Raw genomic sequence first — 18,153 nt, forward strand, 5'->3', positions numbered from 1 at the left:
CAGGAAGCAGCTTTTTAGCCTAAATCCAGATGTTAAAAACAGAAATGAAATCAGTATTTATGGCCCCAAACCCTCCAAGCAAGTCATGCAGCTCGTTCCCCTGTCAAGGCCTCCCACCTTTGGCCCACACAGGGCCTGACCCTCGTCTAAGCCTGCGCCCTGGGGAACGGACCCTGGGGGTGGAGGTGGTGGGTCAGGCCCTGCTCTCACTTTCACACCCGCTTCCTAGCCCTGAAACCAGAGAGGTTCCTGAAGTCCAGCCCAGCCAGGCCTGTGGGGCTGCTGAGAGGGGTTAAGTAAGAGGGAGAGTAAAAACCGACACTTGGGAGGAGGCTTTTAAAATAAACATCTGCGGGGAGGGATGCTCTCAAGGAGGCTGCGGTTTGCAGCTCAGCCAGCTGTGTTCCAGCTAATCAGCCTCCTTGGGCTACTCTGGAGTTGCTGCCTTGGCCCTGGGATGGGGTAGGTTAAGAGGACAGAGGGAGGTCAGGGAGCTGGGGGCTGAGTTTCCCTGAGTAGAGGCTGGCACAGGAGAGAAGGCATCACCCCCACCTCGTCCAGGCCAGAAGATGTCCAGCTTCTTGAGGCTCTCCTAAGTCTGCCTCTCCTGGGACCAAGAGAAAATCCCGGTCCTTGACCAAGGTGGGCCTTGGGGGGAGTGGGGTGTAGAGGGAGGGGCACTGGAGAACTGACTCTACAGAAAGTCAAAGCTGGCAATCCAACTTCTTCCCCTCAGATTTATAGATGGGAAAACAGGCTTGAGCCACGCAGAGACTTGACCAAGCTCACACAGTTCCTTAGTGGCAGAGCAGAGCAAATATTCTCTTTCTTTTACATTCTGGATTTCCATATCTTCTCTCCCTCCTGGTCCAGCCCAACCTCAGGGCACCCCCCACGAGGTGGGCGGGGGATGGCTTTGTCACTTGCACCCACTCGGGGTGCTACTCAGAGATCTTGGGTGCACATAGGACGTGGGTGGGCCGAGCTTCTAGCTACTCCGTCAGGCCCTTCCTGTCATTCTGTCTCTGCCTCCCTTCTCCCTGCTTCTCCGTGTTCCTCCTCATTCTTTTCTGTGTGCAGGGAGACTACACCCCCCACCCCGCTCTTTCTCTGGCGCCTCTGAGGTCCCCCCTCTAGCCCCTAAATCACTCTGGAATCCTGGCTCTTTGAAGCCAGATCTGGGCCCCCCTCCCCTACCCCTTCCATTCCCAGGCTGGGAAAGGCTGAAGAGGCTGACGGCTGGAGGGGAGGGGGCGGGGCGGTGGCGGATCTGGCTTCCTTTTGGAGTTAATTAGGGAAAACAGAGAAATGTCAGCGGAATGAAAGGGCTGGGGGTGGGGGCCAGCTGGGGTAGGAGAGGAGGAAGTGGGCAGCTGCTCCCTCCCACTCAACCCCTCTCCCCCGCCCCCAGAAAGCTCTCAGCTCCGGGGATTTGCGACATGAAATGGGGGCTGTAGAAACCTGAGCGCTGGTGCGTGAAGAGAAAAACCGAGGCGCATCCCGGCTCTCCCCTCCCGTGTGCCCTCCTCCTCTTATGCCGGCTTGAAAATATTTCCTGTCTCTCTATTTCTCAATCCCTGGTTGATGTCCCAGGATTACTCAGCCTCTCCGGCTTTAGTCACTCTCGCTACCCGCTCCCAGGGTCCAGGGTGGAGGCAGAGGGAGGCTGGGAGAGAAGCTCTACTGCCAGCTGGGCCTGGGCTGGCCTGGGCATCCCTGAGGTTTTAACTGTCTCCTAACCACAGAGGATCTCAGGGCCTCCAGCAGCGAGCCCCAATGAGTCAAACTCTTGTTTCCTCCTCTCCCACCCCCGACCCAGTCAGGGCAGGTGAGGGGTAGAGGTGATGGCATGCTGGATGTGACGGTGTTGATGATGTATTGCACAGGATGAAGCACCATCTCATTTAGTCCTCACAGCAGCCTTCACAGTGCGTACAAATCAGCTGGCAATTCCGAGAGGCTGCATTCTAAACAAGTTCCTGGGTGATGCTGAGCCAGGGCCAGAGTGTGGACTTCTCTGGGCCCCAGTTTCTTCTTCTGTACAGTGGGACGTTGGACTGGAGGTGCTGTCTGATGTCACCTAGCTGTGGCACTCTGAGCCTGTGCCTAAAGTGTCCCTGAGATGTCTAGTCCCCGAGATCATCATCTCCTCAGCTTCATAGAGCCGAGCTCTTCTCCATCTTCTCTCTACCTCCCATTCACTCAGAACAGGGATAAGGTCCAAGCTGCTGGTGGTGATGGTGACTGACTGTCCCTTCCAGCATGCGCTTAGGTACACTTGGGCCTGAATGCCCCTCTAACAAATGCTACCGGGTATGGCCTTGGTCCTTCTAACACTTGGTTCCCTCATCTGTAAAATGAGGGTCATACCACATAGCTGGCTGGGCTGTTATGTAGAGGTTAAAAGTGATTGTGCATGTGAAGCATCCAGCAGAGTGCCTGGCACACAGTAGGTGCTCAAATGCTGTTTTGAAATACAAAAATTAGCTGGGCTAGTGGTGTGCACCTGTAATCTCAGCTACTCAGGAGGTTGAGGCAGGAGAATCACTTGAGCCCAGGAGGCAGAGGTTGCAGTGAGCCGGGATCGCGCCACTGCACTCCAGGCTGGGCGACAGAGCAGGACTCCATCTTAAAAAAAAAAAAAAAAAAATGCTGTTTTGAAATGGAGGCTTGGAAGAGCACTCTTCACCCCCACCCCACACACTTACTAACGGAACTACCGAATCTCTACTCGTGCCAGGCCTTGCTTGGCAAAGGCTAGGGGCATGTAAAGCCATGGTTTCATGGCTGCTGCCCTCCAGGAGCCCATGGTCTAGTGTGGGAGTCAGAGGCTCCCTTGAGAAAGCCAGGGCAAGGAACTGAGAGCCCGTGTCACAGCCCTGAGAGAAATACCAGCGAATGTGTTTTGAGCACTTACATCTACCAGGCACTATTTTACGTACCTGACATACATTTTCTTATTTAGCATTCACTAAAACCAGAAGAGGTGGTTACCATTATCATCCCCATTTTGCAGATGAGAAAACTGAAGTGGCATAAGGAGGTTAGGTAGACTTGCCCAGGATCACAGTGAGTAAGGAAAGGAGCTAGGAATCAAACCTAGACTTTCTCACTCCAGAGCCTCTTAACCTCTACCCTCAACTCTTGTGAAGAGAGACTACCTTGGTGACCCCTATATTCCCAGTGCTCAGCGTGGTCAAGGCCCAGGGTGCTGTATAGGCATTCATTAACTGCTGGGGATATAAGACAGTGACTGTTGAGGACCCTAAGTTTAGCTCCCACCTGATCTTCCTCTGTCTCTGCAGAAGCTGCTGATGGGAGCTCCACCCTGGGAGGGGGTGCCGGCACCATGGGATTGAGCGCCCGCTACGGACCCCAGTTCACCCTGCAGCACGTGCCCGACTACCGCCAGAATGTCTACATCCCAGGCAGCAATGCCACACTGACCAACGCAGCTGGCAAGCGGGATGGCAAGGCCCCAGCAGGTGGCAATGGCAACAAGAAGAAGTCGGGCAAGAAGGAGAAGAAGTAACATGGAGGCCAGGCCAAGAGCCACAGGGCGGCCTCTCCCCAACCAGCCCAGCTTCTCCTTACCTGCACCCAGGCCTCAGAGTTTCAGGGCTAACCCCCAGAATACTGGTAGGGGCCAAGGCCATGCTCCCCTTGGGAAACAGAAACAAGTGCCCAGTCAGCACCTACCCCTTCCCCCCCAGGGGGTTGAATATGCAAAAGCAGTTCCGCTGGGAACCCCCATCCAATCAACTGCTGTACCCATGGGGGTAGTGGGGTTACTGTAGACACCAAGAACCATTTGCCACACCCCGTTTAGTTACAGCTGAACTCCTCCATCTTCCAAATCAATCAGGCCCATCCATCCCATGCCTCCCTCCTCCCCACCCCACTCCAACAGTTCCTCTTTCCCGAGTAAGGTGGTTGGGGTGTTGAAGTACCAAGTAACCTACAAGCCTCCTAGTTCTGAAAAGTTGGAAGGGCATCATGACCTCTTGGCCTCTCCTTTGATTCTCAATCTTCCCCCAAAGCATGGTTTGGTGCCAGCCCCTTCACCTCCTTCCAGAGCCCAAGATCAATGCTCAAGTTTTGGAGGACATGATCACCATCCCCATGGTACTGATGCTTGCTGGATTTAGGGAGGGCATTTTGCTACCAAGCCTCTTCCCAACGCCCTGGGGACCAGTCTTCTGTTTTGTTTTTCATTGTTTGACGTTTCCACTGCATGCCTTGACTTCCCCCACCTCCTCCTCAAACAAGAGACTCCACTGCATGTTCCAAGACAGTATGGGGTGGTAAGATAAGGAAGGGAAGTGTGTGGATGTGGATGGTGGGGGCATGGACAAAGCTTGACACATCAAGTTATCAAGGCCTTGGAGGAGGCTCTGTATGTCCTCAGGGGACTGACAACATCCTCCAGATTCCAGCCATAAACCAATAACTAGGCTGGACCCTTCCCACTACATAATAGGGCTCAGCCCAGGCAGCCAGCTTTGGGCTGAGCTAACAGGACCAATGGATTAAACTGGCATTTCAGTCCAAGGAAGCTCGAAGCAGGTTTAGGACCAGGTCCCCTTGAGAGGTCAGAGGGGCCTCTGTGGGTGCTGGGTACTCCAGAGGTGCCACTGGTGGAAGGGTCAGCGGAGCCCCAGCAGGAAGGGTGGGCCAGCCAGGCCATTCTTAGTCCCTGGGTTGGGGAGGCAGGGAGCTAGGGCAGGGACCAAATGAACAGAAAGTCTCAGCCCAGGATGGGGCTTCTTCAACAGGGCCCCTGCCCTCCTGAAGCCTCAGTCCTTCACCTTGCCAGGTGCCGTTTCTCTTCCGTGAAGGCCACTGCCCAGGTCCCCAGTGCGCCCCCTAGTGGCCATAGCCTGGTTAAAGTTCCCCAGTGCCTCCTTGTGCATAGACCTTCTTCTCCCACCCCCTTCTGCCCCTGGGTCCCCGGCCATCCAGCGGGGCTGCCAGAGAACCCCAGACCTGCCCTTACAGTAGTGTAGCGCCCCCTCCCTCTTTCGGCTGGTGTAGAATAGCCAGTAGTGTAGTGCGGTGTGCTTTTACGTGATGGCGGGTGGGCAGCGGGCGGCGGGCTCCGCGCAGCCGTCTGTCCTTGATCTGCCCGCGGCGGCCCGTGTTGTGTTTTGTGCTGTGTCCACGCGCTAAGGCGACCCCCTCCCCCGTACTGACTTCTCCTATAAGCGCTTCTCTTCGCATAGTCACGTAGCTCCCACCCCACCCTCTTCCTGTGTCTCACGCAAGTTTTATACTCTAATATTTATATGGCTTTTTTTCTTCGACAAAAAAATAATAAAACGTTTCTTCTGAAAAGCTGAACGTTTCTGTATAAGCGATGGAAGCTCCTGGCATGTGTGCATGAAGTGATGAGCTGAGGTGGGTGCTGGAAGAAGGGCGGAATCGGGAGGCCACTTTGTGTCATTGCGCGTCTAGATGTTTCCGAATTGCGTGTGTGTGTGTGACTGTGCAATATGGTTGTGTATGCTTGCAATGCCGTTGTGCCTATGAGACAGTGTGCGATTGTGTGCCTATGGATCTGTGTACCGTGTGCCATTGTGTGATCGGTCCGCTGTGGGGGTGGGGATCTGAGTGCGGCGTGTCAGTGTGCAGTGGAGTGTGCAGTCTAAGCTTGCGGCTGTCTCCAGGCAGAAGAGGAGACCCCGGCGCGGGCGGGGGCGGGTTGGCGCCGGGCAAACGCCTTGGGTAGAGGGGAGAGGACGTTTCGTTAGTTCCCGCCCCTTCCTGACTAAAATTGCCTACCCGAAGCGCCCCGGAGGGCTTCACGGGAGGAGGGTAGACTCTCCTTTGCCCCCGCACCCCCACCCCCGCTGCCTAGGGGTTTTGGGAAAGCCGCGGGAGTGGGAGGGAATGCGGGAGGTGATTCTTCCAAAGCCAAGTCTGCAGCTCGAGCCTCAGTTTCCCCATCTGGAATTCGCCTTCCCGCTGACATCTCCGTAGCGAAGCCTAAGAAATTGGAGGGCTCATCCTCTTCTTGCGGGGGTCAAGGGGACTGAAAGGACGTGCAGGAAATGAGATCCATCGCAGACTCAGCTCCCCTCCCTCCTTCCTGTCGGTGCTTTTCCACTCACTCGCCTGCTCTCCCATCTCCCCGCCCCCTCCGCCTGCCTCCTCGAAGCACTGTGGGATTCCGAGGTTGCTGCAGCCAGAGAAGCTGCAGAAAAACACGGAGCTGGGGGTGAAGGGGGACTTAAAAGGGGAACTACCCGGAAGGACCCAAGAACACAAAGACAGAGCCACTGCGGTTATCTGGCTGGTCAGCAAGGGTATGCGGCTTCCTCCGCGCTGCGGAGGCTCCCAGAGCCAGGTCACCCATTCTGCCAGCTCAAGTCTGTTGTCATGGGAACCAAACCTTCCAACTTAAGAATCTGGGGGCGACTTTCTAGCGTGGGAGGAAGGGTGGTGTGCACGGTTGCTGAGATGGAAGCAGGGTTTTGTTACTCAGAGCCAGGCTGCGGAGGGGCGGGGTGCCGGGCGCCTGGGTTCTATTCCAGGCACAGCAGCAGACTGGCAGAGCGCGTGAGCAGCTGTGGTTTGTCCCCTAATTGGTATGTGTGCCTATAAAGCTCTGAACCAGAAAGGCGTGGCCTCCGGGGGGACGGGAGGGAGGCGGCAGGCAACCCATCCCCACACCTCAGGCCATACTGAGGAGGCAGCTGCCCAGGCTCCAGGGCTATTTAAAAGGCTTTTATTTCCAGTTCCAGAGCCCGCCCGAATGGGTTTGTGGTCCTCTCCAGGCCTCTCCCTGTCTATCCTGGGCCTGCTCATTGCTGGTCTGGCTTTTTTGTGCAGGTCATAACGTGCTCAGACAAGTATGGCTCCAAGTGGCAAGTCATCTGGAGCATGACCTCAGGCTCCCAACCTCTGCTGGGCAGGCTCAGGTTTCCACCCCAGGGTAAACCCCTCTACTCTGGAATGTGGTCTGTGGCCACCAACAGAGCAGAGGGGATGAGAAAATGGGAGCCAGATGCTTCCCTCAGCAAGAGACACAGGTACTGCCAGGAAACCTTGCGTGACATCTGGGAACATGAAAGGTTCCAAGTGAGTTCCAAAAAAGGGCTCCAAACCAAGTAGCAGCAATGTGGAAGAGTCAGGGAGCTGAACCAGGCGCCCACTCCTTTACTGTGGCCAAACGGCCCTGAGGTGAGCTCTGGTGGGGCAGCAGCCACCATGTATTAATCATCTCTAGCCCTGTGCCCAAGTAAAGTGTCTGGCACCTTTAGCTTTTTCACAGTGATTTGTCAGGTCAACCAGGGATTTGAGGCAGGAAAGACTAGAGGAGCCTGGACTAGAGTGAAAAGAAAACAGCTCAGAAATTCACACAGGAAGCTGTAAGGCAGTACTGTTTCAATGCTTTATTAACAGTTGGAAACAAAACCAACAAACTGGAGGTGATGACATCCCAGAAGCCTATGAGGCAAGGGAAATAGGTTTGCATTTTGTCCCTCACACCTCTCTCTCTCTCTCTTTTTTTTTATTAAATGCATCTTAGCAAAAGTAGATTAAAAAAGAAAGGGTCAAAGCCCCAGATGTCAGCGAGCAGGGAGGAGGTGACCCAGGGGAGCAACAGACGCCCTGCATCAGAGTCCTCCCAGGAATAGTCCAAAGGAGCTGCTCTTGCCCCTTTATACACAAGCGCCAGCAACCAAAACCCTCCCTCCTGGCAATAAGGCCTCACTATAGTTGCCCTCATGCTTCCTAAGCTCTCTCTTGCTCTAATAACTCTAATTCTGGGCCAAGCCCAAGAGTGCCATTCTTTCTTCCTAGCTGGGGATGGAAAGCTGAGAGGGGCACAAGGAGGGCAAAAGTATCACCCTAAGCCAGAGAATTGCAGCTTCCTGTGGTTGGGGCCACCAAACAGTTCAGTGTGCCCACCCACTTCTCTTTTAGAAGAGAGCTGGGGTACAGTGTATGAAGGCACTCCTGGTGCCCAGTTCCCCAGAATGTCCAGTTAGCATCTGCACATTTGGCTTGATACATTTATACATTTATAAAAAACTCTGTGGTCTTAGAGTTCCTGCTACTCTTAGGCCTGGCCCAGCTCAACCAGAGAAGGGGTTCCTCCTGTGTCGGATTCCCTGGGAGAGAGGATCTGCCTTGGACTCAAGGGTCCAGAAGGTCCAGGGGCACATTCAGGATTGGGCCTGTGAGAAGAAATCCCAGAACTCTGTAACCTGCCACCAAAGCTTCTTACATTATGGAGGGGAAAGGGGGAAGGAACAGTTTTCTTTAAAAAAATTTTTTTTTTCATACAAAAATAGATCCATTTGCAAAACAATTTCTCAGCCAGGAGGCTCCACCTCCCATTTCCTTGTAGACAGAGGGTGAGGTGTTGGGATGGTCACAGTACAACCCATAGTCCAGATGAGATGCACCAAAGCTCAGGGAAGGCATGAGGAGGGAAGGTGGCTCAGTAGCCTGGGGTTGGTGCAGAGCGTCCAGAGAGGCAAGGGCATAAAGCGTGGCAGAAGCTGGGGGCAGGTCCCACACTGTCGCTATGCCCTGCCTGCCTGCCCACAGGCTCTGGCCTGGGCCACAGCACAGCAGGGAAACTGGTCCAGATCCTTTGCTTTGGAGGCCTTTCCCAGGAAGGTGGGGTAAAGGTGGGATTTGCTCCCTGCTTCCTTAGGAGCAGCTCCCAGTGCCACACCACTAATAATAAATAACCACAGCCAGGAGAGGGAAGAGCAGAGACAACAGCAATGAAAGGAGGGATCTAGCCCAAAGGTTTACAAGCCCCATGCTATTCTCAGGGCCAGAGAAACCACAAAAGAAAAGCACAAATCCAGCAAGACTGACCTAGGGGGGAAAGCCCATTAGAAAGTCAGGGCTGAGAAAAAGCAGGCTGGGCCTTGTCTGAGATGAGGCCCTCTGAGTAACAGAGAGGAGACAGGGTTAAGGCAGCAAACATGGACCCTGCTTTGGTAATACAACAGCCAGGGCTGGCTAAGTCGGGCTCAGGCCTCCCCTGCACTGCCCTTTCCTTCTGGCCTCCAGGCAGCTGAAGCTGTATGTGATGTTGAGAGAGCAGCAGGCCAGAGAGAAAGACAGGGTCAGGGTGGTGGGAGTGGCCACCCCAGAGGAATATCCCCTTGAGCCTTTAGGCACATGCTGCAGGGCAGGACAGTCTGCGGCTCCGCTGAGGAGCTGCCGCGGTCACAGGACCCACATTAGCTTGCACGGCCAACCAACTCCTTGGCTTCCTCAAGGATTGTGGGGAATGTCTCACTGTTCTTGGACACCTTGGCAGGAACAGCAGCCATGGCATCATCCTTGGTCAGCTCCGAAGCTAGCAGAGATGTGACTGCACACCCGGCCTTCCTGTTGGCTGCAAGAGAAGACGAGAGATTCTGTCTATGGAAGGCCTCATTTCTAATTTCTTTCAAACTCTACAGCAGATAATCAGCGTAAGCCATGCAGACATGACTACCTTGGCCACTTCACAGAGGCCCTTACTTTGAAGAAAGGGGCAGAGATCCAGCATGTGGAATATATTGTTGGGTGGCAAAGAATGTAAGAGAGTGTGGTGCAACAGGAAAGCAAGCCTTGCCCCCTTGCTTCCCTGTGTGAAAACAGCACAAAAGTTTGAACACAGACAGACAGAACTGGGCTGAAGTGTTAGCTATGTGACTTAAGGAGAGATGAAGTATTCAAAGTCTATTTTCTCGTAATAGGGATGTTGGAATTAAATAGACTAAAGTTTAGTACATAGTATTATTTTTGTTTTCTTGACAGGTCCCAGGAAACTCCTAGGCCAAAACACTTCTCAGTCAGCCCTGGGAGGGTTGTCCCTAGCAGAAGGCAACCTTCCGTAAGTGGCTGGAGAGACTCCCGCAAAGAGGAACAGCAGCCACGCACTGACACCGCACTCCCACGTGTTCCTCCAACAACAGATGCCCACATGCCTTAGCTCTTTCCCACCCCTTCAAAGGTAGCAGCCGTAATACAAATGCCAAGGGCCCTACAAGGTGTGTAGAGTATGTGGGGGTGGCATGGCGGGGGGGAGGTAGTAATAAAAACTATGCCAGGGAAGCAGAACTGGGATAAAGATGGACAGGAGAGGACCCCTACCAAGAAATCTCAGCCCAGGTGGCTAAGAGATGGTCAAGTTCCGGCTGTCATACCAGATTAGAAAAGAAGAACCAAATCAATCCACGAGTTTCTGTTCTAACTGCTGGGTTTCATCCCCAAGACTCTCATATTCATTTATGGTATCTAGGCTTATGGCCCCAGTATCTGCAGCAGGAAGGCCACTCCTTGAGACCATGCCCATCTCATGATGTTTCCTCCTCCCATGCCCCAGAACAGCACAGAGCAACTGTGTATACACAAACAGCTGTCTGGGACGAAAGAAGCCTGACACGAAAGGCCATATGTTATGGGTCAGCTTCTGCGAAATGTCCAGCACAGGCAAACCCAGAGATAGAAAATAGACTGGTGGTTGCCAGAGGCAAGGGGAGGGGAGAATCAGTAGTGACTGCTAATGGGGATTATGAAGTTTTTCTTCTGGGGATGATGAAACGTCCTGGAATTAGATAGTAATGGTTATACAATCTTGTGGATATTCTAAAACCCCTGAATTATACATTTTTAAAAGGTGAATTTTAGGTATGTAAATGATAGCTCAATTGGAAAAAAAAAAAAAAAAAAAAGACTTCCTGGAGATCTGGGAAAGCTGGAGTGGAGAAAGCAGTACCGGAATGTTTTAGAAGCAGGACCAGATGAAAGAGCCGAGCACTCCTAAATAAAGACCAAGACTGGGGCAGCTGCATGACTGGAATGAAGCGCCTTTTTGGACCAGCAAAAAGCTTTAGGTAGGCAGAAGCCAAACAGGATCAGATAGCCCGTCTTTTTTTTTTTTTTTTTGATGGAATCTCAGTCGCCCAGGCTGGAGTGCAGCAGCGCAATCACAGCTCACCGTAGCCTCAACCTCCCAGGCTCAAGTGATCCACCCACCTCAGCCTCCCTAGTAGCTGGGACTATAAGCATGTGCCACCATATCTGGCTATTTTTGTATTTTTTTGCAGAGATGGGGTCTCTCCATGTTGTCTAGGCTGGTCTTGAACTCCTGGGCTCAAGCAATCCTCCCACCTTGGAACCTAAAGTTCTGGGATTACAAGCATGAGTCACCACAGCCTGCCAAAGCCCAAGTCTTAACCAGGTCTTCTCTCCCTGCAGAGCCATGACCCAGAGCTACTGTTTTCATCCCAGGAGAGGCTGCCCATAGATCAAGCAGGGAACACGCAGCATGCACACAGGTTACCAATTTAAAGGTCTCCTCCTCCTCCTCTACTTCCCAGGGGCACAAGAGGTTGTCTACCAAGAGGAGAAAGAATAGTGAAGACCCTGACTGACAGCCACAGGACTTATCTAGTTACAGATCATAGGTATGTGCCCGAGACTGTGGGATTTTCACAAAACCATTTATTGGATTATGAACATAAACTAATGCCCCGTGACTGAGACAAGTGAGGAAAAGGAGCCTACGTGAGTGTGACTATGATGGTCTACATGTGTGCATTTCTCATACTGTCCTTACCACCAAAATCTTCCTCAGGCCTCCTACATTTCCACTCTCTTCTGAAGTACTCCCTCTCTAGACCCCATTTCTCATATCCAGAAGGGTAGTAGTTTCCTATCATTTTATTATTTCTTTGAATTCAGTCTCCAACAGTTGAGAAGACACTGCGACTCTGTGCATGTGTGTGTGTGTGTGTAACTCTAGTGGTATATATATGTTGAAATAACATCTGACTCCAGACCTTGGGAAAAGAACACTGGGCCACTTGTCCTGGGCAACACAGGAGAAGGCAGAGGTCCCATGTGGTAGGTCTTTAGCTGCTGCTTTCTGTGGTTTCTTCCTCCAAAATAAGAAGATACCAGTTGTACCTAACCAAGTGGTGTTTCTAGACTTTTCTGGACTCAAGAAGCTTCTGATGTATTACAAACTTCATAAGAACCAGGAGCAGAGAGTAGGTAGGGAGAAGATCAAAATTTCCCTTTTAAGCCTTGAAAGCCTATACACCAGGGAGGGTGTGATTTGGCCTAAGGTCAGGGGATGAGAAAGCTCTTGTTGGAACAGGTCTCCCAGCTTTCCACTCACTCACCATTATGCTCAGCAGGTTGAACAGTCAAGAAAAACTGACCTCCCCATGCTTCCCCCAACTTACTCACTTGTTATTAGACTATTGAAAAGTAGCCATAGAACCAGATAAATATTTTGACTACAAGAGAACAGTCCCACAGGCTGTGTGGGAAAAGGGAACAATGTTGAGATACTGGTGAATGCTCTCTGAGGACAGATTCCTAGAAGTTAGGGGTGGGCTAGGATAAAAACACCAGCAAAATCAACCATATAACGCAAGTTTTAAAAAGGTTAGTGATTTGAAAAAAGACCTTTATAAAACGTAGGCTAGGAACTATTACTAAAGAGGAAGTGCTCTTGTTAATACATTAAGCTTCCTTAGGGAAGAGGAAACTAGGACAGATGGGGCAATCATCATCACACTAAATAACTCATTCTTGTCTCAAACTCTGCTAATTATGTTTCTTGTCCTATTTACAAAAGTAGGGGGGAGAATAAGCAGTGGTACAGGAAATATTCTTAGCAACCTTCTCTAGATAGGAGGTGATATGGTTTGGATGTATGACCCCTCCAAACCTCATGCTGAAATGTGGACTACAATGTTGGAGGTGGGGCCTAGTGGGAGGCACTTGGGTCATGGGGTGGATCCCTTATGAGTGGCTTGGTGCCCTCCCCACAGTAATGAGCTCATACAAGCACTGGTTGTTTAAAAGAGCCTGGCATCTCTCTAGCTCCCACTTCCGCCTTGTGATACACCTTCTCCCCCCTTGATTGGAAGCTTCCTGAGGCCTCAACAGCAGATGCTGGCGCCATGCTTTCTCTACAGTCTGCAGAACTGTCAGCCAAATAAACCCCTTTTCTTTATAAATTACCCAGTCTCCAGTATTTCTTTATAATAATACAAAATAGACTAACACAGGTGGTCATGAGAGCACCTTCCTGAAGCAATGTCATTATGTCCGACTCTCCTTGCTGGAAGGTATGAAAGAATATTTCCGGCCCATACTGTGGGTTCACTGCTGTCTCCTGTTCAATCACGCAGGCTGAGGGGAAACAGGCCTGGACTTGGAGTCACAAAAGTGGGCTACAGTGCTCTGTCATTAGCCATGTAGACCTGGGCAAGACTTTATCTGTTTTTTATTTTTATTTTTTTGAGATGGAGTCTCATTCTGTCACCCAGGCTGAAGTGCAGTGGCGCAATCTCGGCTCACTGCAAGCTCCGCCTCCTGGGTTCATGCCATTCTCCTGCCTCAGCCTCCTGAGTAGCTGGGACTACAGGTGCCTGCCACCACGCCCGGCTAATTTTTTGTATTTTTGGTAGAGACAGAGTTTCACCGTGTTAGTCACCTTATCTGGTTTTAATCCCTTTCCCTATGAGAAGGTTAGATACTAATCACTGGAAGTCTTTAGAGTCTTTCCAACTCTATGGTTCTGTTAGATGGATGGAGCTTATAGGGAAGCTGGGAAATGGTAGAGGGAAGGAAAGGAAGAGTTGAATTTCTTTCTTCCCTTGGCTTTTATCCCAGTGAGCAAATGACTTGTATACAAGAGGCCACAATTCAGACATGGAGATAAAGTTGAGTCATTAAAACCACAAGCTGACTCAATCATGGGCCTGAAATAGCAGCTGTAATACAATCACATGGATTCTTCCCCTTGACACTCCAACCATTGTTCTCCCACACCCTGCGGATCACAGGAGTTTACATGTTGCTTTTAATGAACCAAGCCTGATAGTAACTCTCCTCTTCCAACTCCTCAATGAGTCTTTGTATACTGGTCACTCCCCCAGGTCTCCAGAGACCGGAAGAATTTAACATTCCTTTAAATTCTAGGGAAAAAGCTAGTGTCTTTGAATAGGGACAGCTGCCTCTCTGGAAAAAAGGAGGGCTATGAGGCAGATATGTTCCACAGTGCCTCTGTTTTTTTAGCTCAAAGCAATCAGCCAAGAGGAATAGTCAGAGACAGCCAGGCAAGGGGTGGAACAGCCAAATTCAGTAGCTGCATAGAGAAACCTATAGCCAGTGGAGCCTTTGTATTTTGAGAATGGGGCCATCTAAGTCCAGCCTCTCTCTCCTCTTAATCCTGTTGTCACTGCACAAAAAAAATATTAGAGCTGGAAGGGACCCTGCAGACCATTCATTCTAGTCCAACTCTCATTTTATACCTGAGGAACTGAGTCCCAGAAACATTAAGTGACTTGCTTAGGATAACACAGACAGCATCAGAACTAGATGTGACTTTAGGTCTTTTGATCCCTACCTAGCCCTGTGTTCTTTGTAATCTACTCTGATGGCTATCCTCCTGTTTAATGTGAGACCGCATCACATCACTTTACATGATGTGAATGCACCAGGGTCTAAAGAGTTACCAGAATAACTACAAATGTCTCCCTTGAGATTCTCCCAGATATATTCAAGTGTATTTAGTGGACCCAGAGCCTAGAAAGATAAGCTTATAGGCTAGAGCCACTTAAAATATATGTAATTGTCATTTCACCTACTTTCCAATTTAGTATCTCCTAGTATAAGTCTCCTCCTATTCCCTCTTGCATGGGAGAGAGTACTTTGACTAATTCAGGTCCTCTGCTGGAAGGTTAGTTTCCAACAAAATTCCTCCTTCCTCCACCTGTGAGTTCTGATTTTCTACTTGGAAAGAAGTGAAGAATGGGGCTTCCCCAGCAGAGGGAAGCCACTGATGTCTGGCTACCTGTGGACAGGAAGCATCTGGGATTCTAGTATAGTTCCACAGGAAGAGGCTTAAAAGGGAATTCCCCACCAAAATTCTGATGCAGGCACTTAGCCGACGGGGTCAAAAAAAAAAAAAAAAAAAACAATAAGATGCAATGTATTTTTGTAAGGCTAGAAATGCTTAATGTTAAGGCCACATCACCTTGTGTGGTCAGTAGGAAATAATGTTGTAAGAACCTATAAAGACAAAATACAGGAGTAATAGTACCTCTAGCTGTACTCTCCTTGCAAACACCTATCTATAAGACTAAATGCTCGAGCCCAGAGAGTACTCAGCTCTTCATATCCACTTCTCCCCACGCTTTAGAAAGCCTGTACTCAGAGAATGCCAGAAAATGGGTAAGAACTTTGACTCGGGAGCTTTCAGTTTGGGGAACATTCTGAAGTCATACAAGAGAACCCTCAGAAGGGAGTATCACTCTGGTTATTCAGAGTATAGGTAGAAATGGGCAGCCAGCCATTACAGATGAAACTCACAGTGATGGCTGTTGTTGGGCCAGAATACTGAGTTTACATAGGCTAGCATGCTCTAAGGTCCCCCTTTCCAGGCTGTGGCAGGTACTACAGGCCCTACAGATACCACTGTATTAATAGCTAAGCACTGGCCAAAGCAAGCTGTGTTAACTCCTTCTGTTTACAATAATCTCAAAGTATAACTATCAAATGGGCCTACACAATGCAACAGCCAGGAAACAGGGAACATAGATTTAAGTCCCTCTGAAGTAGAAACCTCTAATGATGCCTTTTTTTGTAATTCCCACTCTTCAAATTAGTAAAGAAGCCACCACTCCTAGCCTCAAAAGACCTTCACTAGACACGATAGTGCAGGTCAACTCCACATGAGGGGCAGACTTGCCTATACCTTCCTTTGAATTAGTCTCTTGGCCACTGTAAGCTTCCCTGAAAGGGAACTTATTCATTAATCTTTTCCCATACTAATGCCTGGATCACTTGTCCTAGCTCCATAATTCTTTTTAGAATCTCTAGCTCAATGTAATCCACTTAGATCTTCCAAAGGACATGAAAGGAGATTGCAGGGCAGTGATGGGGAAGGCAAGGGCAATAGAGGCTAACTGCACTCAAGGAAAAGGTAGTTTTCAGACACGGCATAATCCTTCAACTGAGATGCTCCTCTATATTTTTCTATCTGGGAATAATGATGCCTAAACCTGTCTACAAAATTTTATACTTTCTATTATTAGTTCTCTCTACGTATGTCTTCTGCTTGTGAAGTCCAGAGTAAGGACTCTGACTTATTTTTTCTTTGAATTTCAATCTATATCTAATATACATTTTGTATTTAGATCAACTTTTGTTCATACACACAAATGCCAACTCAAATCCCTGGGTCCTGCAGCTCAGTTCCTTTGTTCCAAATATCTGCTTCAAGAGTGGGGAGAAATGCGGCATAATCCAATGTAACTGATTTATTGCCAGTCCCTTAAACCCCAGTTTTCTAAGTCGCTACTCTGTAACATGGGAAGAAGAGGACTAGATAATCCGTTCTGGATGCAGGGACTAAAAAGATGCTTAGAGCATCATTATTTGCTCTTTAGCCGCAGACTGGCAGGAGTAGAGAGCCCTCACCCCCTTCGACACCCAGGATGAGCTCCATGTGCTTACTTACCTTGACGGGGCCCTCTCTTCCGTCGGAATGCTGCCCCTGACTGCAGGGCTTCTAGAAGACTGTCCATCACACCTGTCTCATCGCCCTCTGTTATAAAGAACAAGATGGAGATGTGAACTCTTCAGCCAGAGCAGCATGGCAAATATCAAGCCCCACACAAAATGAATGGCTATTGCTTGATTTCCCCTCTCCCACAGCAGCTGGCAGCTAAGAAGAGGCAAAGAGAGCTCAGCCTTAAGTCTCACACGCTCATGTTTACTTGTATCTGCTAAAAAATGGTTAAAACAAAAGATCTCATTGCCTATTATCCAATGCAGACCTTGGGATATTTTCCCGCAATGCCATCCTCCCCACCCCAATCAGGACTAGCAACAAAATTATACAACTGCCCAACTCCAAGACCAGGATAAGTAGAGACTACGATTGTGAAATTACTAAGCAACTATATCACTCCCTTTTATCCTAAAGTGTTTTGCCTGGTTAGGTTTCAGAGCAGGGCCGAGGAAAGACCACTGATCAAAGAGTGCACTTTCCTGAAGTACTGCCTCCAGTGGCTAAGTCTTCCTGATGTCTAAGTCCTCTGCATCTAAGAGGAGCAGCCTGGCTGGAATACAAAGAGTTAATGTAGAATCCTTGTTCTAGCCTGGCTCGGTTTCCATGACAACAGCTTAGGATAGTGAAATCTGAAACTGTGAAATCCCAAAAAGTCCATAGGCTGCCAGATCCAAGGCTGGGGCTCACTGCTCCCAGCGCCACCTGCTGGCTGAGCATCACCAGTGCAGCTGACCTACATTCCACCCTCATTTGCTTGACCCGGGTACTGGAAACTGGGCAAGGTCCATTACGCCACCTGTTGACCGTGTGCAGCCCTCATCCCACATGTCAGCGGGACTCCACCTTCCCCCACTGCATCCTAGCCAGTACCTGGGGACAAACCCTGGAGTCCCAGGGGAAGGTGAAGGATACTTGGTGTGGGCTTTAATAGCATTACGAAGTTGTGGCTTACAACTAAGGGCAAGGAAATTGCTTTACAGAAAAGTATAAAAAGTCCCTGGTAGCAAGAGGTATCAGAGCAGCCCTTGTGCCTGTGCTCTGTAAAATACTGATTCCTAACAAACTCAGCAGCTCTGTGAACACCTCTTCATTTGCAGAAGGTTTGTGGCCCCTCAGGTTTAGAGGAGGGTGGCATGGGCTCAGTGCTGTGTGAGCAGTGTATGCTGTATTTCCGCTGCCCACAGAGAGAGCAGTGGGGGCGAAGGGGTAGGGAATCTGCAGCAAGAAAGAAGCAGAGACAGGAAACAGAGGGCCAGTAATTGAAACCATATGTTTCAACAAAGACATGCTTCTGGTAGTGAAACAGAGATTCTGCTGAAGAAAGAAGAGGGTGACCGGCTCCCCACCCGCTCCAAAAGTTCAATCCATTTAAAATCTAATTGTGCATACAACTGTGCTAAGGTACTAGGGACATAGTACTTTGTGAAATAAGCAGAAAGGGAAGACACGCCACAATTAAAAGATGGGAGGAGCGTCAGGAAAATATTTTACAGAAAAAAACCCGAAAGATTTAGTGGAGGGAATGAGAACAGGCCAGAGGAACCTTTGGATGGACAGAAGGAAAACAGTATATATCACAGCAATACCACAATCACAGG

At 50.0% G+C, this 18,153-nt stretch overlaps 23 protein-coding genes, 1 long non-coding RNA gene and 1 further gene across 31 annotated transcripts in view, besides 15 other annotated features; 24 read left to right on the forward strand and 1 right to left on the reverse strand.

Annotated features, from left to right (window-relative positions):
* Positions 1 to 24: part of an enhancer, noted in NCBI's record as "active region_23300", that runs on past the window's edge. NCBI's record gives its function as "activates an Ori minimal core promoter by ATAC-STARR-seq in GM12878 lymphoblastoid cells {active_cell/tissue: GM12878}" and the evidence as "EXISTENCE:reporter gene assay evidence [ECO:0000049][PMID:35858748]".
* Positions 1 to 5,334, forward strand: part of PCDHGA1 (protocadherin gamma subfamily A, 1) — a 182,462-nt gene extending 177,128 nt beyond the window's left edge. The window contains exon 4 of the mRNA NM_018912.3: positions 3,306 to 5,334. Within this exon, the coding sequence (NP_061735.1) occupies positions 3,306 to 3,532 (227 nt within the window). The 3' untranslated portion in view covers positions 3,533 to 5,334. The remainder of the gene's footprint in view (positions 1 to 3,305) is intronic.
* PCDHGA2 (protocadherin gamma subfamily A, 2) overlaps positions 1 to 5,334 on the forward strand; it is a 174,216-nt gene extending 168,882 nt beyond the window's left edge. The window contains exon 4 of the mRNA NM_018915.4: positions 3,306 to 5,334. Coding sequence (NP_061738.1) covers positions 3,306 to 3,532 — 227 coding nt within the window. The 3' untranslated portion in view covers positions 3,533 to 5,334. The remainder of the gene's footprint in view (positions 1 to 3,305) is intronic.
* Positions 1 to 5,334, forward strand: part of PCDHGA3 (protocadherin gamma subfamily A, 3) — a 169,147-nt gene extending 163,813 nt beyond the window's left edge. The window contains exon 4 of the mRNA NM_018916.4: positions 3,306 to 5,334. Coding sequence (NP_061739.2) covers positions 3,306 to 3,532 — 227 coding nt within the window. The 3' untranslated portion in view covers positions 3,533 to 5,334. The remainder of the gene's footprint in view (positions 1 to 3,305) is intronic.
* Positions 1 to 5,334, forward strand: part of PCDHGB1 (protocadherin gamma subfamily B, 1) — a 162,877-nt gene extending 157,543 nt beyond the window's left edge. Inside the window, exon 4 of the mRNA NM_018922.3 lies at positions 3,306 to 5,334. Coding sequence (NP_061745.1) covers positions 3,306 to 3,532 — 227 coding nt within the window. The 3' untranslated portion in view covers positions 3,533 to 5,334. The remainder of the gene's footprint in view (positions 1 to 3,305) is intronic.
* The window catches only part of PCDHGA4 (protocadherin gamma subfamily A, 4), a 157,955-nt gene extending 152,621 nt beyond the window's left edge, over positions 1 to 5,334 (forward strand). Inside the window, exon 4 of the mRNA NM_018917.4 lies at positions 3,306 to 5,334. Within this exon, the coding sequence (NP_061740.2) occupies positions 3,306 to 3,532 (227 nt within the window). The 3' untranslated portion in view covers positions 3,533 to 5,334. The remainder of the gene's footprint in view (positions 1 to 3,305) is intronic.
* Positions 1 to 5,334, forward strand: part of PCDHGB2 (protocadherin gamma subfamily B, 2) — a 152,982-nt gene extending 147,648 nt beyond the window's left edge. The window contains exon 4 of the mRNA NM_018923.3: positions 3,306 to 5,334. Coding sequence (NP_061746.1) covers positions 3,306 to 3,532 — 227 coding nt within the window. The 3' untranslated portion in view covers positions 3,533 to 5,334. The remainder of the gene's footprint in view (positions 1 to 3,305) is intronic.
* The window catches only part of PCDHGA5 (protocadherin gamma subfamily A, 5), a 148,814-nt gene extending 143,480 nt beyond the window's left edge, over positions 1 to 5,334 (forward strand). Inside the window, exon 4 of the mRNA NM_018918.3 lies at positions 3,306 to 5,334. Within this exon, the coding sequence (NP_061741.1) occupies positions 3,306 to 3,532 (227 nt within the window). The 3' untranslated portion in view covers positions 3,533 to 5,334. The remainder of the gene's footprint in view (positions 1 to 3,305) is intronic.
* The window catches only part of PCDHGB3 (protocadherin gamma subfamily B, 3), a 142,734-nt gene extending 137,400 nt beyond the window's left edge, over positions 1 to 5,334 (forward strand). Inside the window, exon 4 of the mRNA NM_018924.5 lies at positions 3,306 to 5,334. Coding sequence (NP_061747.2) covers positions 3,306 to 3,532 — 227 coding nt within the window. The 3' untranslated portion in view covers positions 3,533 to 5,334. The remainder of the gene's footprint in view (positions 1 to 3,305) is intronic.
* The window catches only part of PCDHGA6 (protocadherin gamma subfamily A, 6), a 139,085-nt gene extending 133,751 nt beyond the window's left edge, over positions 1 to 5,334 (forward strand). Inside the window, exon 4 of the mRNA NM_018919.3 lies at positions 3,306 to 5,334. Coding sequence (NP_061742.1) covers positions 3,306 to 3,532 — 227 coding nt within the window. The 3' untranslated portion in view covers positions 3,533 to 5,334. The remainder of the gene's footprint in view (positions 1 to 3,305) is intronic.
* Positions 1 to 5,334, forward strand: part of PCDHGA7 (protocadherin gamma subfamily A, 7) — a 130,234-nt gene extending 124,900 nt beyond the window's left edge. Inside the window, exon 4 of the mRNA NM_018920.4 lies at positions 3,306 to 5,334. Within this exon, the coding sequence (NP_061743.1) occupies positions 3,306 to 3,532 (227 nt within the window). The 3' untranslated portion in view covers positions 3,533 to 5,334. The remainder of the gene's footprint in view (positions 1 to 3,305) is intronic.
* Positions 1 to 5,334, forward strand: part of PCDHGB4 (protocadherin gamma subfamily B, 4) — a 125,278-nt gene extending 119,944 nt beyond the window's left edge. The window contains exon 4 of the mRNA NM_003736.4: positions 3,306 to 5,334. Within this exon, the coding sequence (NP_003727.1) occupies positions 3,306 to 3,532 (227 nt within the window). The 3' untranslated portion in view covers positions 3,533 to 5,334. The remainder of the gene's footprint in view (positions 1 to 3,305) is intronic.
* The window catches only part of PCDHGA8 (protocadherin gamma subfamily A, 8), a 120,343-nt gene extending 115,009 nt beyond the window's left edge, over positions 1 to 5,334 (forward strand). The window contains exon 4 of the mRNA NM_032088.2: positions 3,306 to 5,334. Coding sequence (NP_114477.1) covers positions 3,306 to 3,532 — 227 coding nt within the window. The 3' untranslated portion in view covers positions 3,533 to 5,334. The remainder of the gene's footprint in view (positions 1 to 3,305) is intronic.
* Positions 1 to 5,334, forward strand: part of PCDHGB5 (protocadherin gamma subfamily B, 5) — a 115,029-nt gene extending 109,695 nt beyond the window's left edge. Inside the window, exon 4 of the mRNA NM_018925.3 lies at positions 3,306 to 5,334. Within this exon, the coding sequence (NP_061748.1) occupies positions 3,306 to 3,532 (227 nt within the window). The 3' untranslated portion in view covers positions 3,533 to 5,334. The remainder of the gene's footprint in view (positions 1 to 3,305) is intronic.
* The window catches only part of PCDHGA9 (protocadherin gamma subfamily A, 9), a 110,198-nt gene extending 104,864 nt beyond the window's left edge, over positions 1 to 5,334 (forward strand). Inside the window, exon 4 of the mRNA NM_018921.3 lies at positions 3,306 to 5,334. Coding sequence (NP_061744.1) covers positions 3,306 to 3,532 — 227 coding nt within the window. The 3' untranslated portion in view covers positions 3,533 to 5,334. The remainder of the gene's footprint in view (positions 1 to 3,305) is intronic.
* The window catches only part of PCDHGB6 (protocadherin gamma subfamily B, 6), a 104,955-nt gene extending 99,621 nt beyond the window's left edge, over positions 1 to 5,334 (forward strand). Inside the window, exon 4 of the mRNA NM_018926.3 lies at positions 3,306 to 5,334. Within this exon, the coding sequence (NP_061749.1) occupies positions 3,306 to 3,532 (227 nt within the window). The 3' untranslated portion in view covers positions 3,533 to 5,334. The remainder of the gene's footprint in view (positions 1 to 3,305) is intronic.
* Positions 1 to 5,334, forward strand: part of PCDHGA10 (protocadherin gamma subfamily A, 10) — a 99,989-nt gene extending 94,655 nt beyond the window's left edge. The window contains exon 4 of the mRNA NM_018913.3: positions 3,306 to 5,334. Coding sequence (NP_061736.1) covers positions 3,306 to 3,532 — 227 coding nt within the window. The 3' untranslated portion in view covers positions 3,533 to 5,334. The remainder of the gene's footprint in view (positions 1 to 3,305) is intronic.
* Positions 1 to 5,334, forward strand: part of PCDHGB7 (protocadherin gamma subfamily B, 7) — a 95,299-nt gene extending 89,965 nt beyond the window's left edge. Inside the window, exon 4 of the mRNA NM_018927.4 lies at positions 3,306 to 5,334. Coding sequence (NP_061750.1) covers positions 3,306 to 3,532 — 227 coding nt within the window. The 3' untranslated portion in view covers positions 3,533 to 5,334. The remainder of the gene's footprint in view (positions 1 to 3,305) is intronic.
* The window catches only part of PCDHGA11 (protocadherin gamma subfamily A, 11), a 91,925-nt gene extending 86,591 nt beyond the window's left edge, over positions 1 to 5,334 (forward strand). For both annotated transcript variants that reach the window (NM_018914.3, NM_032092.2), the window contains exon 4: positions 3,306 to 5,334. In NM_018914.3, coding sequence (NP_061737.1) covers positions 3,306 to 3,532 — 227 coding nt within the window. In that variant the 3' untranslated portion in view covers positions 3,533 to 5,334. The remainder of the gene's footprint in view (positions 1 to 3,305) is intronic.
* Positions 1 to 5,334, forward strand: part of PCDHGA12 (protocadherin gamma subfamily A, 12) — an 82,469-nt gene extending 77,135 nt beyond the window's left edge. Inside the window, exon 4 of the mRNA NM_003735.3 lies at positions 3,306 to 5,334. Within this exon, the coding sequence (NP_003726.1) occupies positions 3,306 to 3,532 (227 nt within the window). The 3' untranslated portion in view covers positions 3,533 to 5,334. The remainder of the gene's footprint in view (positions 1 to 3,305) is intronic.
* PCDHGC3 (protocadherin gamma subfamily C, 3) overlaps positions 1 to 5,334 on the forward strand; it is a 37,010-nt gene extending 31,676 nt beyond the window's left edge. For both annotated transcript variants that reach the window (NM_002588.4, NM_032403.3), the window contains exon 4: positions 3,306 to 5,334. In NM_002588.4, coding sequence (NP_002579.2) covers positions 3,306 to 3,532 — 227 coding nt within the window. In that variant the 3' untranslated portion in view covers positions 3,533 to 5,334. The remainder of the gene's footprint in view (positions 1 to 3,305) is intronic.
* The window catches only part of PCDHGC4 (protocadherin gamma subfamily C, 4), a 27,946-nt gene extending 22,612 nt beyond the window's left edge, over positions 1 to 5,334 (forward strand). For both annotated transcript variants that reach the window (NM_018928.3, NM_001386884.1), the window contains exon 4: positions 3,306 to 5,334. In NM_018928.3, coding sequence (NP_061751.1) covers positions 3,306 to 3,532 — 227 coding nt within the window. In that variant the 3' untranslated portion in view covers positions 3,533 to 5,334. The remainder of the gene's footprint in view (positions 1 to 3,305) is intronic.
* Positions 1 to 5,334, forward strand: part of PCDHGC5 (protocadherin gamma subfamily C, 5) — a 23,895-nt gene extending 18,561 nt beyond the window's left edge. Inside the window, exon 4 of the mRNA NM_018929.3 lies at positions 3,306 to 5,334. Within this exon, the coding sequence (NP_061752.1) occupies positions 3,306 to 3,532 (227 nt within the window). The 3' untranslated portion in view covers positions 3,533 to 5,334. The remainder of the gene's footprint in view (positions 1 to 3,305) is intronic.
* PCDHG@ (protocadherin gamma cluster) overlaps positions 1 to 5,338 on the forward strand; it is a 182,295-nt gene extending 176,957 nt beyond the window's left edge.
* Positions 295 to 344: an enhancer, noted in NCBI's record as "active region_23301". NCBI's record gives its function as "activates an Ori minimal core promoter by ATAC-STARR-seq in GM12878 lymphoblastoid cells {active_cell/tissue: GM12878}" and the evidence as "EXISTENCE:reporter gene assay evidence [ECO:0000049][PMID:35858748]".
* Positions 1,200 to 1,700: an enhancer, noted in NCBI's record as "H3K4me1 hESC enhancer chr5:140888408-140888908 (GRCh37/hg19 assembly coordinates)". NCBI's record gives its function as "activates a minimal SCP1, AML or CMV promoter by ChIP-STARR-seq in naive H9 embryonic stem cells {active_cell/tissue: H9 hESC(naive)}" and the evidence as "EXISTENCE:reporter gene assay evidence [ECO:0000049][PMID:30033119]".
* Positions 1,515 to 1,564: an enhancer, noted in NCBI's record as "active region_23302". NCBI's record gives its function as "activates an Ori minimal core promoter by ATAC-STARR-seq in GM12878 lymphoblastoid cells {active_cell/tissue: GM12878}" and the evidence as "EXISTENCE:reporter gene assay evidence [ECO:0000049][PMID:35858748]".
* Positions 2,875 to 2,964: an enhancer, noted in NCBI's record as "active region_23303". NCBI's record gives its function as "activates an Ori minimal core promoter by ATAC-STARR-seq in GM12878 lymphoblastoid cells {active_cell/tissue: GM12878}" and the evidence as "EXISTENCE:reporter gene assay evidence [ECO:0000049][PMID:35858748]".
* Positions 3,545 to 3,654: an enhancer, noted in NCBI's record as "active region_23304". NCBI's record gives its function as "activates an Ori minimal core promoter by ATAC-STARR-seq in GM12878 lymphoblastoid cells {active_cell/tissue: GM12878}" and the evidence as "EXISTENCE:reporter gene assay evidence [ECO:0000049][PMID:35858748]".
* Positions 5,893 to 6,518: an enhancer, noted in NCBI's record as "H3K27ac-H3K4me1 hESC enhancer chr5:140893101-140893726 (GRCh37/hg19 assembly coordinates)". NCBI's record gives its function as "activates a minimal SCP1, AML or CMV promoter by ChIP-STARR-seq in naive H9 embryonic stem cells {active_cell/tissue: H9 hESC(naive)}" and the evidence as "EXISTENCE:reporter gene assay evidence [ECO:0000049][PMID:30033119]".
* Positions 6,064 to 6,183: an enhancer, noted in NCBI's record as "active region_23305". NCBI's record gives its function as "activates an Ori minimal core promoter by ATAC-STARR-seq in GM12878 lymphoblastoid cells {active_cell/tissue: GM12878}" and the evidence as "EXISTENCE:reporter gene assay evidence [ECO:0000049][PMID:35858748]".
* Positions 6,519 to 7,144: an enhancer, noted in NCBI's record as "H3K27ac-H3K4me1 hESC enhancer chr5:140893727-140894352 (GRCh37/hg19 assembly coordinates)". NCBI's record gives its function as "activates a minimal SCP1, AML or CMV promoter by ChIP-STARR-seq in naive and primed H9 embryonic stem cells {active_cell/tissue: H9 hESC(naive and primed)}" and the evidence as "EXISTENCE:reporter gene assay evidence [ECO:0000049][PMID:30033119]".
* Positions 6,519 to 7,173: a biological region, named in NCBI's record as "H3K27ac-H3K4me1 hESC enhancer GRCh37_chr5:140893727-140894352".
* Positions 6,924 to 7,173: an enhancer, noted in NCBI's record as "active region_23306". NCBI's record gives its function as "activates an Ori minimal core promoter by ATAC-STARR-seq in GM12878 lymphoblastoid cells {active_cell/tissue: GM12878}" and the evidence as "EXISTENCE:reporter gene assay evidence [ECO:0000049][PMID:35858748]".
* Positions 7,145 to 7,770: an enhancer, noted in NCBI's record as "H3K27ac-H3K4me1 hESC enhancer chr5:140894353-140894978 (GRCh37/hg19 assembly coordinates)". NCBI's record gives its function as "activates a minimal SCP1, AML or CMV promoter by ChIP-STARR-seq in naive H9 embryonic stem cells {active_cell/tissue: H9 hESC(naive)}" and the evidence as "EXISTENCE:reporter gene assay evidence [ECO:0000049][PMID:30033119]".
* The window catches only part of DIAPH1 (diaphanous related formin 1), a 103,980-nt gene continuing 93,206 nt past the window's right edge, over positions 7,380 to 18,153 (reverse strand). For 4 of the 5 annotated variants that reach the window (NM_001079812.3, NM_005219.5, XM_047416885.1 and 1 more), the window contains 2 exons: positions 16,502 to 16,588; positions 7,380 to 9,367 (listed from right to left, as the gene is read on the reverse strand). In NM_001079812.3, coding sequence (NP_001073280.1) covers positions 9,210 to 9,367; positions 16,502 to 16,588 — 245 coding nt within the window. In that variant the 3' untranslated portion in view covers positions 7,380 to 9,209. Of the gene's footprint in view, positions 9,368 to 11,302; positions 11,356 to 16,501; positions 16,589 to 18,153 lie in introns of all 5 variants that reach the window. The other variant, NM_001314007.2, reaches the window with a different exon arrangement.
* Positions 8,397 to 9,022: an enhancer, noted in NCBI's record as "H3K27ac-H3K4me1 hESC enhancer chr5:140895605-140896230 (GRCh37/hg19 assembly coordinates)". NCBI's record gives its function as "activates a minimal SCP1, AML or CMV promoter by ChIP-STARR-seq in primed H9 embryonic stem cells {active_cell/tissue: H9 hESC(primed)}" and the evidence as "EXISTENCE:reporter gene assay evidence [ECO:0000049][PMID:30033119]".
* Positions 9,023 to 9,648: an enhancer, noted in NCBI's record as "H3K27ac-H3K4me1 hESC enhancer chr5:140896231-140896856 (GRCh37/hg19 assembly coordinates)". NCBI's record gives its function as "activates a minimal SCP1, AML or CMV promoter by ChIP-STARR-seq in primed H9 embryonic stem cells {active_cell/tissue: H9 hESC(primed)}" and the evidence as "EXISTENCE:reporter gene assay evidence [ECO:0000049][PMID:30033119]".
* Positions 9,367 to 12,995, forward strand: LOC124901091 (uncharacterized). Its single transcript, XR_007058971.1, has 2 exons — positions 9,367 to 10,007; positions 11,340 to 12,995. It is a non-coding gene; the product is annotated as an uncharacterized LOC124901091 (long non-coding RNA).
* Positions 13,581 to 13,875: an enhancer, noted in NCBI's record as "tiled region #13534; K562 Activating DNase matched - State 14:Gen5'". NCBI's record gives its function as "activates a minimal TATA promoter and a strong SV40 promoter by Sharpr-MPRA in K562 cells {active_cell/tissue: K562}" and the evidence as "EXISTENCE:reporter gene assay evidence [ECO:0000049][PMID:27701403]".

This window comes from Homo sapiens, chromosome 5 (assembly GCF_000001405.40).
Source record: "Homo sapiens chromosome 5, GRCh38.p14 Primary Assembly".
Classification (NCBI taxonomy): Eukaryota; Metazoa; Chordata; class Mammalia; order Primates; family Hominidae; genus Homo; species Homo sapiens.